Raw genomic sequence first — 13,232 nt, 5'->3', positions numbered from 1 at the left:
CTGGCAGATGATTGCACGTGGGATCAGTAAAAGGAAAGAAAGAGCCAAGCAGAGAAAGGAAGCATGGCTGGAGAGGCTGGTGGAGAACTAGGCAGCATTTCCAAGAAGAAGGGGGTGACTGATGGCGTCAGACACTACAGAGGAGGGTGAAGACTGAGAAGAAGCCACACGTAGGCTTTTGGAGACCTCTGAAAGAGTTGTTTCCATGTCCACTGAGAGCAGAAGATTGATTGAGAGAGGGTGATTAAGGGAATAGGGAGAAGTAAAGACAACAACTTACGATCTGGCAGTGAAATGAAGGTAGTAGTGGTCACTCTAAATGGTTGAGGGGGGCTGATTGGGGCAACAGAAAACCCTCCCTTCTTTGATTCACTCATTCCTATGGATTTAGAGCAATGGTCTTCAACTAGGTCAGACTACGTATTGTATTGAAAAGATCTCCCAGGTTATGTGGTCAAAGTCCTGTCTCTGCGTTGGAATCCCAGTGCTGGAGGATAAAGCACAGAACCCACACTGCTGCTGGGTCTGGAGACTCAATCTCATGATTGTGCCAGTGCTGAAAACCATCTCCTGCCCTGAAATCCTAGATACTCCTCATGCCAGGGTTGGGGTGAGCAGAGAGAGCTGCTGTGGAAAGCAGGAAGGGGAGATTGAAAAGCATGGTTTGTAATGGAAATGCTGCAGTAACTTTCCTACTTGGTACTTGCTCTCATCCATGGACGCTTTGTAAATCAGGGACTGGAACAAACAGAGCTGACAGCTCTGTTTAAAAAAGCTTTTGGGGAGTTTGTAAGGAAATAAAAAGAAGCCTGATGCTATGTGAAACATGTGACCTCAATTCAGAACTGGAAAAAAAAAAAAACCTTTATTGCCTTCTCAAAATGTTTTACCTATAAATTGTTTTTTCATTAAGGTAAACAGGAGAAAAGAAAATGGCCTTGAAAAAAAAAAGAGTATAAAAGTCTTCCCTCTTATTATTAACAGGCATTAACATTCAGAGTAGAAATTTAGGTAGACTCTTTCCTCCCTTTCCTGTCTTCCTTTCTCTCCTTCCCCTCCTTCCCTCCTTCCCCTCCTTCCCTCCTTCCCCCCTTTCCGTCCTTCCTTTTCTTCCCCACCTTCCTCTCCTTTCCTTCCCTACCCTTCTCTTTTCTACCCTTCCTTCCTTCCTTCCTTCCCTCCCTCCCTCCCTTCCTTCTTCCCTTCCTTCCTTCTTCCCTTCCTTCTTTCCTGTGTCTCTTCCTCTCTTCCTCTCTTTCCCTTCCTTCCCTTCCTGTTCCCTCCCCATCCTTTTAGATTGGAATACAGTGTGTACTACATATGATCTGGATCCCTGCAAGTTAAACAAAGATCTAGATAAGAAGTGTAATGTTAAAAATGGTATTTCAGGGAGCTGTACACCGCTGATCTTAACAAAGCTAAGAGATGTAGGTCGAGTTCTAGATGCCTGTTGAAAGTGATTGAATTTCACAACAGAGTAATCCATGTTTGGTAAAGAAATGGGCCCGCGGTTGCAAGATGCTAATACCAACGGTGATGAAGAGAATCTGGTCAATTCCATGTTTGGGTTTTTCACCCACTTGAGCCTTGACAGGTTTGAATTTCACTCTGCTGCCTTGCCTAGCATGTCTTGCTGAACCTCTCAGCCTTGCTGTAGTTTTAGAGGTGATGGTGATTAGAATGCTAAGAAAGTCAGCTCACTGTTTTCCTTGAGGAAGAGGAGGGCATGGTGACAGAGGGAATTTGGAAGAGAGTGGGTCCAGATGGCACTAACACCTCTTGGTTTCACAGACTATTTCCACCCTCTTTACAAATTCCCTTTCAGCTAAACAAACAAATATTTAAGAGAACTGCTGGTACCAGGTCATGTTAAATATTTCTCTTACTTATTTCATGATACTGCTTTGCAAGGTTAAACAATGAAAAGTAATAACGGCTTAATACAGCCTAACTCATTTTTCCTGGATGAATCATTAATTTCCTGCTAAACAGATGCATTTAGAAAGTATGCACAGTATATATTATAAAAATAATTTTAAAGTAATTACTTACAAAGAAGTTTCCTTAAATTTGCTAGGTAGTCTTTCTCAGTCTTTTCTCTTCTGCTATAGTCATGTTGAAATTCTGAAGTTCGGGGCAAGGCTTAGTCTCCTTAAGAGGATCTCCATCAGAAAAGAATCACTTAGATGTTACCTGCTGCCAATTGTAAACTATTGTGTATGAAATACTGATATTATTCACTTACTCTAGAAGAAAGTCCTAGTTTCCCCAGTTTATTAAAAAGTTGAGTTAATCCATGTGTAATAGTTAAAAACACATCCACCCCATGCCTTCCTTCCTATAGAAATATATATATATTTTGAAATTTTCCAATTCTTTCTATATACAATACATCAATCATTTGCATATAAAATGTTCATCTCCCCTGCTCTGGGGTATTGCACTTGGCTTTCATAGGAACCAGCTAAGTCTGAAATCACAAGATGGAGAACCTAGATACTTTTCAGTTCCTCCAGAGTTAGAGAATCACTTACAGGGTAAACACACCCATAAATCAGCCTGTACCCCCATCAGTCAGATAATGAAAGTATTTGTGTAGGCCCAAGAATGCCTTTCATTGAAAAGCCAGCACTACCCATGCCAAAATATAAAACACATGTAAATGATGTGTAGATTATTATTCATTCAGCAAATAGTTGGTAAGCAAGATCTATGAGCTGAGCCTAATGTCAGCAGTTTAGCTATAGTCTGTGTTATGTTCCTTATTCTCTTGACTAGAAGGTTTATTGTGTTATGTATATCTATAGATACATATACATTAACCAAAGTGTGTATAAAATATAAGAACTAAATTAAAATATTTTCAATGAAATTATAAAATAACAATAGATGCTCCTGTTAGAGTCACTTTTTTGGTTATATTATAGCCAGTCATGACTTTTATAGCAAATGGCAGAGGGCTTTTTTTTTTGAGAGTTCATTTTATTGCATTTTTATTGGTAGGTAGTGAAACTGACTTTCACTAGGAAATTAAATCTCAGCATCTTTGCCTTGAAATACTTTAATAGATTAACATGAGTGATGGCATTTGTTTTCTTGCTGTGGGTAATCATATTTATTTCTGCATGTTTAATTACGGGGTTTTTATTCCATCATAGACATGGGCTGTGTTTTCATATAAAACAGACCTTATTTCAAAGAGCTCAAAGAGGGCGAAAAAAAGATGACATAATTGGGCTAGTAATATAGATATACCATGCAAAATCAAAGTATAAACCTGCAAAGTCATTTTTTGGGGAACTGCGATTTAAAACACAGCTTATATCTCTAGCCAGGAAGCCACAGGTTCTTTCGTTTGCTTTTATTGATTTTTATTTTTTACAAGGGACTTTAAAAAAAATAACTGCTCGTTGGCCTTTAACTAGGATCTCTGCCTTTCTTTTAATTTATTTATATCCTCTGTAATTACTTTTCCTTTCTTTATCCTAATTTTTCTTGATTCTGCTGCATTACACCAATTTTCATGTCTCCTCTTGTTTCCCTTCTAAATTTTCATTTATGTTTTCAGATAAATTTATTCACTATGATGTCATCTGACCATTCTTGTGATGCAAGGTAGTGCAATTTCTTTAAGGCTTGAAACAAGGGCACACTAGGGCACACTATTGATACTGTCATATGTTGCCACTGACGTCATTTCTGGGGTAAGAGACAGTTGTAACCAGTAAAATATCTGCAGAGCTTTATTAAATATTCTCTTCTCCTACTTTTGAAGTGCCCATTTCCCAGAAAGACTGGTTATTTGTTCTTTGAAAATGTAAGCTTTTTTCAATTAAACTTTTCCATTCCACACGAAACCCTGAACTTCTAGGTGAGCAAATCTTATTGTAATTATCCTCTCTTCATAGAAAAGCAGGATCGATACCATTGTCCTGCATAGCATGCCAACCTATAAATTATACTGTCTGTCCTTTGGTCCCTGTAGATTGCATTAGGTACACTGCTCCAGCAGAGTTTGAACTTTGTGGTTGTGCTGGTTATAGTATATGGAGAGAGGAAATAAGCTTGCCTTGGCCTTAGCTTCTTAAACGGCATTCACACGTTTGTTTATGAATGAGTAGGGCAGACCAGGGCAGAGAAAATAAGGCATTTGTACATCTTGCTGATTTGTTTCTGGCTTCAGGGGCCATTTAAAGAGAAAGAGTAAGCATGAACAGACCAAACCTGAAGCAATTAATGAGCAGATAACTTCCCAAGCATGAGCATCACTGCCACTTAACCTGTGTTTAGTCTTGCCCCATGACAAATCTTTCCTGTTTTCCTTCCTTTTTAACATTTCCTGACAATAGCACATATTTTCAGAATTTTGATTTTGAAATTGATGTGACCTATAATTCCTAAACAGTAAGTAGGGGTATCAGTTGCATTAGGTCAAACCTCAAAGTTGATCAATTCTTATTTCTCATAAGACATTGTTCTTTAGCCATTGTATCTTTAATAGTCTTTTAAACACATTCATCTCTGGGCTAAAAATGCTTTTTAAAAAAACCAAAAAGAGTACTTTTCTAGAAGCAAACTTCATAGTCCTCTATATTATGTACTTATGGATCTTCATGTTAGAGTTATAAAAATATACAGGATGTAAGAGAGGCATGTGACCCATATGAAATAATGGATCTATATTTGGGTTGTAGGATAAAAATCAGAGGTTCTTCCAACTTAGGATCAAAAATAGTTTGAGCCCCTAACTCATTTTTTCCTATAGCAGTGGCTTGTCATCATATCAACAGATTTCAGGAACCTCTGTCCTCTCGCCTGGAGGCACTCCAAAATTCATTTAGGTGGTTTATGTAATAGTGGAACGATTCTTAGAAATGGGACAGGGTGGATATAAGGTAATTGCTTTTTTTTCCTGATGAAATAGTGCCTGTGGGTTTTTTTTTTTTTTTTTTTTTTTTTTGGTAGTAATTTCACAAAGATCCTAAATTGAAATCCGCTGGAATAATAGGACACACAGGAGTAGCCGCTGTTCTCTATTACGTACAGCATGGCTGTATCTGTGACCTGTGGTTGTGCATATTGTAGGTTTATTTTTCACACTGCCAGTTAAGATTTCCCAGAGTTTGACACAAAATCTACAATCACTGAGCCTCTACTGATATATTTGTATTGTCCGGAAGGCTGTCGAGTTCTTAGTCAAGAGAATGGCTTCCATGGTTTTCTTTCATAGTGAATGGTTTTGGAAATAAAATTTTATGCTCATACTTACTGAGGTCAGAATCCTGAAATTTCGTCCAGTGGTATAAATAATAATAATATGTCACAAGGTATATTAACCATTTGCCTTGTACTAGGCCCTGTTACTACTATTTATATACATCATTTCATGTAGCCCTGTAACATCCCTTTGAGATAACTACTCTTATATCCTTATTTTCAGATGAGGAACTAAGAAGTTAAAAATATGCCCAAAGAGCCACATAGTAGCATTAACTCCAGCTCAGAGCTGACTCTTGACAGCTGCCAACAAATTCTCTTTGTTCTTCTGGGTGGAAGACCATGAAACAGGAAAATATTAATAACATGTAGTGTACTGCTTTCTAAAATTTTCTTCCCGTTATCATAGTTTGGTTGGTAACAATTCTTACCCACTTTTATCTGTCTCTTTTCCTTTTCTAAAATACTATCCATTTTTATAGAAAGAGACAAAGGAAAAATGTATGTTCTTTTCTCCATCTGGACGTTCTTGAAGGTTTATGCTGAGAGAACCATTATTCTGTAGTGTGCCTTACCACTGACAGCCTGGGTGTATATTCTTCAGCCTATTTTGTTTGTTTCTCCGCTGGAAAAATGAAGATGAAATCACTGTGCCTTGCTATCAAAGTAGGGATGAAGGAGTAATGTCCTTCATAATTACAGACAGTATAATTATAAATAATAGGCCATGGATATAACTGTAAATATGAAAATGTGAGGTTTCCTCATGAGATACTGAGTGATCTCAGCAGCCTGCAAAAGGTGATATGTGTCAAAGGACATAAAACAGTAGGAGGAGAAAGAGCACTGAGCGATCACGTAGTCCCAAAGTTAGCAGGGATGCTTTCGGGGAGGCATACCTGGAAAGAGGATGTAAATTCACCTTGCTGTGAAGGACTGGAGGAGCCAACCTTTTCAATCCTGTGGCTAGTGGAGGGTCTTGAGTGTGCCTTTGGGGCATGAAAGCCAGGAGGAAGCACACCCTGTTTAGCAGATGTGTGGCTTCAGGGCCTTGGCAGGCAGAACAGGTTGATTATGCATTGCCATGGTTATTCTGCCACTGAACAGTTATACTCCAGCACCCTTCTTCATTGCTCTGCCAAAGCACTTATGCCTTGGAGCTCTGAGTCCAGGCACAGAAGGGACTGTCCTAAGTGAGTGAAGTGGTCAGGACGTCACTGCAGGCACTGAGAATTTATTAAAATGAGGATGAGGCAGAATGGAGAGTTTTATTCTCTGTATTTGTGAGAGCTTTCTTCCGATGCAAGAAGGAAACCCCATCTAGTTTCATGAAAACATGAGCCTTGCCTAACCGACTTGGCTGCAGGCAAACCAACCCTGCCCCTGTGTTTTGAAATTTGGGCTCTTTCCTCTTTCATGTTCTTTTTCATCAAGTGTGAACTCCTGATTCTATGTCAGCAGTTGATCCCCATTACAAATAATCTTCAGCAGAATCTTGTTTTCCATATCCTATTGACTTTGGCACCTGCTCTGTTTACTTAAGCACTCAATTGATAAGAACTGGAATCTTTGCTGATTTTTACCTAAAGCTAGAAAAGAAAACCTTTCAAGCCAGCAAAAATAACCTTCCTCTGAAAAAATACATCAAAGGAGTGGTGCCAGCTCAGTTGGTATTAGGTTGTGCATTGCATGGGTTGGAAACGATGGACTGTAAAGAAAAGGGGTCTTTGCAGCAGGCAGAAGTAAAGCAACAACAATTAAAGTAAACAGAGCAAACTTTCCATGACATGCTGCTACCAGCATTTGTAATAACCCCCAGGATAGGACCCTACTGGAAGACGGGTTAGCTAGTGGGAAACTGACAGGAGGGATCAGGAGTGGGGAGGCAGGACACAGTTACTAGAGCAGAGATACGTAATAAAGGCTTGGAGATAGAAACAAAAGCAAAACATTTAGAATGGTTAAGACTCACTTGATGTCACTTACCTGTCCCAGTGATTGGGTTCTTTTCAGTGCCCTCTGTGAAGACAAGAATGACATCAGAGCATACGTCCAGCTCTACTTTCTCAGGAGCCACAGATTTTGGCTCTTCATGCAGAAATACTCAGAATATGCAGATAATGACACATATCAGAAACCTTATCACTGAACATTTTAAATTCCATGGTGGGGGAAGGAGGCATGTCCTACACAATAGGCATCCTGTTTTGGGGGAGGTTTATCACAAAAACTTTTTATTGATCACTGAGGGGAAAAAATGGGGTTTTCATCTGAAACCTTGGGTGTCTCAGTCTTTTTCTTTCCGATTTTGTGTAAGCTAGACAATTATGTTGGATTTACTTTCTCCATCTTCAGTGGAAGAAATGACCTTGTTGAGTAAAACAAGTATGTTAAGTGTCAATTCATAAACACAGGTTTGTATGGAAAGAGAGGATATGAAATTAGACACACCTGTGAAGATCTGGGGATGGGTGACATCTTTTTTTTCCAGTAAACATTTATTGATCCTTTATGAGGTACCAAGCACTTTAGTAAGAGCTGGGAAGAGGAGAAAAGAGCAATGGTGGTCCTTGTTCCCCAGGAGCTCTAAGACCCTGTGTGAGACAGATGTGGGGGTGGGGATGTGCCATGGTGGTGAGCAGGCAGGAGTGATGGTGCCTGGGAAGAGGCAGGCGAGGGTCACGAGAGCCTGCAGAGAAAAGGAGGCATTTGAGTCGGTCATGAAGGACACCAGCAGTTTTTACAGGTGGACAAAAGACATGTAAGGCAAAGAGAACCTCAAAGAGAGAAAGTGTGGACATCTGGATGGGTTTGCCAGGTCTGGGGAACTGAAAGGAGGTCTGAGTGACTGCTAAGATTAAAGGCACAGAGTGGGAGGTGAGGAGGCTAGGAAGTTCTAGAGGGTTCAAATCAGAAATGCTTTGTCCTGTAAATCGTGTGGAGCTGTGGAAAGGCTTTAAGCAGGTGAGTGATGTGATTAGGTTTACGTTCCCGAGAAATCATTCCATCACACTGTGGAGAACGGACTGGAAAAAGATCTTCGTGGATGCAGAAGATGAGCATAGACACTGTTGCTGTGGCCCGAGCAGGAGAGAATGAGGCCCAGACCCAGGGCAGTAGAGGTGGAGGTGTAGAGGAGGGACACAGTGAGAGAGAGAGATGGAGGAGACTGAAGAACACTGAGTGAGTAAACTGGAAGTGGTGGATGCAGGAGACCAGGAGGAGCCAGGGTTGTCCAGGATTTCTGGCAGAGCTGACTTGGTGAGTGAGGGCATTATTGACTCTGACAGATAAATGAGAAGAAAACCAGCTTCTGAGGGGTAGTGGAAGCAGATAGGGGCATGCGGGGCATGTTGAGATGTGTTGGGACATGCTGCGATTGAAGGGGCCTGCGGCCATCAGGTGAAGTGTGTAGCCGACATTTGGAAGTACTGGCCTAGAGCTTAGGTGAAAGCCTGGCTGAATAGGTAAGGTGCCACTGGTGTCATAGAATGAGGAGAAAGTAGTATCAGAAAATCACAGAAGAACGTAGTTTTAGACAGAGTGGTCAGTACAGCATTATCAAATACTGTCAAGGGCTGGGCAAGGTGACTCATGCCTGTAATCCCAGCACTTTGGGAGGCCAGGAGTTTGAGACCAACCTGGGCAACATGATGAGACTCCATCTCTACAGAAAATTTAAAAATTAGCCAGGCATGGTGGCGCACCTGTAGTCCCCAGCCACTCAGGAGGCTGAGGTGAGAGGATCGCTTGAGCCTAGGAGGTTGAGGTTGCAGTGAGCCATGATTGTGCCACTGCTCTCCAGCCTGGGCATCAGAGAAGGCAAGTAAGAGAAGAGCTGAAAGGGGCCCCTTGGATTCGATCATCTCCTGCCAGCTCTTGCTTTGTGGAACTGTGGTGGAGGTGGAAAACAGATTACAACAGGATGGGGGAAGCAGGGTAGGAAGCAGGTTGAAAAGCCAGTACGGATGACCAGATGACCATTTTCCTTCAGTTTAGCTGGGAGAGGATTCAGAAAGCACTGGCCGGTAAGGTACCCATGGGGTCAGGTTTAAATCATCATTCTAGTTGTAGACCCCACATGGCTCCACATTGAACTCCTGACCCCACTCCAGTATCAAGGCTTTGTCTCGATATTGTCTGTGGCTGAGAAGTAGTGCACTATCAGGTCTATAAAATCTCTGGTAAAATAAAAAAAAACTCTTATTATTTCTATTTTTTAGATAGTTTTAGGATGCTTGAGAGTCATGTTTTAATTCCCCCATCCCTGCAGTGAGATGTTATGTTGCTTTCTGGAAAACCTTTGGGAGTCATCAGTTATCCTCTTCCACGGTTAAATAATCGACGTCCTTTGCTGTCGGCTGGAGCAGGGGGTGCTGTCCTGTGACTCATGTGTTCTCATTCACAGCATGTTGAGCAATGCACTTGGTGCTAGTGCCTAATAAAGCATGCTGAGGATGTTGTCACTGAGCTCGAATTTTCCTCAGTGGGGCTAGATTTCTGTCACCACACATTTTTCTTCTTGCTACACTCTGAGACACTTCTCAATGAAACATTTGTCCTTTTTTCCTTTATTATGTCTAGAACGGTGTCTTCTCTAACTTAGTATTGCATTTTGCTGTCGGGTATTTATCTCTGATTCTGAATTGTATTTTTAGTGTTGCTTGTGTTCTTTCCTTTTCCTTTTTCCCCAACAAAGAACTTCTTGGAAGGTCTTCCATCCCTGTCTCCCTCCAGACTGCCTTAGGGAAGCCAGAAGCCATGCACAGTGAGACTTATGATGCGGACGTTGGCTCTGATGAGAGGCCAATACCACAGCCCTCAGAAGGGCAAAGGCTCAGCTCCCTGGATAGACCACTCCTTATTCCCACCACACTAATTAATTGTCATCTCAGAAGGCAATGAGACCAATTGTTCTGGCATTGCCCTGGCCAAGCCAACTCTGGAAGAGGCAGTGAGCTGCCAGCTTTTCTGCTGTTGGCCAGGAATCTGTATCCCAGCAGTCTGTCAGGGAAAACAGGCCAATTTGGGGTTTGAATTGCTGCCTCAGAGATGCCAGCAATGGGGTTGCTTGTTAAGAGAGTTGCACCCTAAGACTCTAGTGAAATAGCTTGAAGATCTGTGAGAGTGGTTTGAATTCCGACATGTGAAAGTATGTGCTTTGCTTGTGAAGTGGAAATTGCCCTATTCAAGTGGGCTTATGAGTCCCCTTTGTCACTTAGCTTGTCACTGAACTTAAAATCTTTGTTCTTTACTTTCAACTTTACTGAGGGGGAAGAATTTGGTGTTAATAGATGTGAAAGCTCTGTAGAAGATGTTACTGGACACATCAGAGAAAGAACTGTGATTTTTAGACTCTTGGCAGTGGCTTCACAGTGGCCCCAAGGAGACAGGGGTAGGTGGGACTGTTCTCATTGATCGTGATAGAGACAGTGAAGCAGAAAACCACTTATGTGATTTGTCTGAGGTCCTACCTAGCTGGCTGAAATCCAGAGCATCCAACACGACTACATCACCTAACATCTAAAATGACATTGCCTTGAAGGGAGAGAAACTGAAATGGACAGATACTTAAGTGCAGGTCTGCTGCTACCATAGAGTGCCTTTGTGCAAATGGAAAAGGCATCTCTAGGCCCCATGGGCAGGCAGATTACACAAAGGTGCTTCTTAGTGACTAACCAAGGCACACAGCTTGGTGAGCAGAATGCTGACTGGTTCCAGGCCCCAGGTTGATCTCCACCACATGTCCCTTTGCACAAGGCCCAAAATGCACAACCACATAGGGAGGCCCTGCATAGACGTTTGCCTTGACAGTGGACTAGTTCATAGATATTTGTAGCCAGTTGACCAAATCCTTATTTTACCTCCCCACTTTTCATTCCCAAGGTAAAAAATAAAGTTCATCTATTAAAAAACTAATTGTATGTGCCCCACCTTAACAGTATTCTTAAGGAGCTCTATTTTTTTAACCACTTTTCTCTCCCTGTAAATTATACTACCCACCCTTCCTTTTTGATATCTGCTGTAGCAAATTGTAAGGCAGCACTCTGCCCACAGGACGTGGTCTTTAAAGGAGTCATTTCCTCTTCCATCTCCTCCAGGCCATTCCCATCGTGTTTTTCGTGGCACTGGCAACAGGAAGGCACACTGAATAGCAGTGCTGAAAAGGCACTTTGTTGTTTATGTTATTACTGTGGGTTTGTCTCTGCCTAATAATTAGCGTTTCCGGCTTTCTGAATTTATTTGCCAAAATATTTGCAGGACTTTCGTGAACAAATAAGGGATGTGTTTCTTGACATAACTGACCACTGCCTTGCAAGGCTGAGCGAGAGATGTTTCTAGACATAATAGACCACTGCCTTGCAAGGCTGAGCAAACTTCTGGCTGTCGGAGTTTTTTTAGATGGATTTGCTCAGGGAAAGATTATCCTAGTAAGGCAAACACCTTCTAAATCACTAATCTGGCATTGATGCTATCTCAGCGACCACAGTTCAGGAAGTTCGAAGTATTCCAGTGTTCCTTTCAGGACAGGGTAGGTCATTACTGAGGGGTGGCGAGTTCTTGGGTCCCAGGGGCAAAAGTCTAGTCCTGTCTGAGTTCCCTCCCAGTGAAGTTCGTGAGCCTCAGCTTCCTCATCTGTAATGTGAGATAATCATATTTGTCTTGTCTGGCTCATAGAATTGTAGTTGAGGGTTAAATGAAAGAAAATATATGTAGAAGTGCTTTGCTAACTCTAAAACATTACAAAAATGTTATTTATATTAGACTCTAAGGATACTGTTCTCTGAGGGAGGATTAACCAAGGAGAGAGCCTTGTTCACTATATTTAGGTTAAAAGGGACGTGCTTCACTCTCTGCTGCATTTTCTCCTCACATAAAGGAGAAAATAAGATGATAAACAGTTCGGCCATCTCCCTGGCCCCTTCCCGACCTACCTTACCCATCTAACTGGTTCCTTCTCTGTGTTGTTCTTTTGAAGAGGTCTTCTTGGCCTACCAGGATTGCCCACGTTTCTTTGGACCCATTGCACACCCATAAGGACCACCCCCTTCATTCTTTTTTCCTATCATAATCAGCCTCTCCTAACCAGCTTGTTTTTCTAGCTGGGCAACAATAACTCAAATCCCTGCAAGTGTGCAGGTGAATGGAGCAGGCAGGGTGAGGAATTGATGGCATTGAAGCAGGCGGAAAGCGCTTGCCCCTCCCAAGGGGCAGCCACAGCTTGGCTGCAGCCAGCTGTTACCTTGTGGAATTGAGGGCCCTGACTTGCCACACATCTCCTGATTTTTCAAGAGAAGGCAGAAATCAGGATTTTTAAGGGAAATTTCCTCATTTTTAATGTTGGAAGCTATTTCAATGTTTTTTAAATTATATTACGCAAATCAACAGACCGTGGCCAAACAGCACGTTTGTGAACTGTGTTTTGCCCACAGACGGCTGGTTTGTGACCATCTTCAGGTCTTTGAGCACAAGTGTGCCTCGTTTCCTCAAGGATAATACACATGAATGCAGTGCTCAGCTAGAGCATCGCCTCCTGGCCTACCTCTGACTCTCTCTAGTTTCACTTGGTCACATTTCTCTTTGATCTGCTGTGACATGACTCCCACTTTAAGCAACAACTCTTTCTTTAGTTGACGGTGACATTTTTTTAGGACCCTCTTATCTATACTAGTCTTGGCCTTTCTGCCCTCAGGGTCCCTATGCTAGACCCTCCAAGATACCACCCTTTCTTCAAGCCGAGTGATGATTGCCCATGTCAGTCACTTTCCATCTGTTGCAGATTGTTTATACTGTGTAAAGTTTTACAGTAAGTGTCTTTGCTGCTTTCAGTGTTTCTGGATGAGGTGGTCGTCTTTCTGATTATAAAGAGATGGTTGTGAGATGCTGAGGAAGGATAGATACAAGCCTTATAGTGAACTTGGAATTGTGTTCTTTATGTGCTTATGGAATTGTGTTCTTTAAAGTAACTTTGGGGGTTCATATGAGAATATAACCCTGCTCAGAAGAAATTACTT

The 13,232-nt window shown here is 41.8% G+C and overlaps 1 protein-coding gene across 3 annotated transcripts in view, besides 1 other annotated feature; it reads left to right on the top strand.

Moving 5' to 3' along the window:
- GNAQ (G protein subunit alpha q) overlaps nt 1–13,232 on the top strand; it is a 315,715-nt gene that overhangs the window by 173,077 nt on the left and 129,406 nt on the right. The window lies entirely within an intron of this gene.
- Nucleotides 2,416–2,616: a silencer, noted in NCBI's record as "peak7274 fragment used in MPRA reporter construct". NCBI's record gives its function as "represses an SCP1 promoter by STARR-seq MPRAs in K562 erythroleukemia cells {active_cell/tissue: K562}" and the evidence as "EXISTENCE:reporter gene assay evidence [ECO:0000049][PMID:32103011]".

Source organism: Homo sapiens, chromosome 9 (genome assembly GCF_000001405.40).
Source record: "Homo sapiens chromosome 9, GRCh38.p14 Primary Assembly".
NCBI classification, from domain to species: Eukaryota; Metazoa; Chordata; class Mammalia; order Primates; family Hominidae; genus Homo; species Homo sapiens.
The sequence above is the reverse complement of the archived record's forward strand: the minus strand, read 5'-3'. Positions and strand labels throughout refer to the sequence as shown.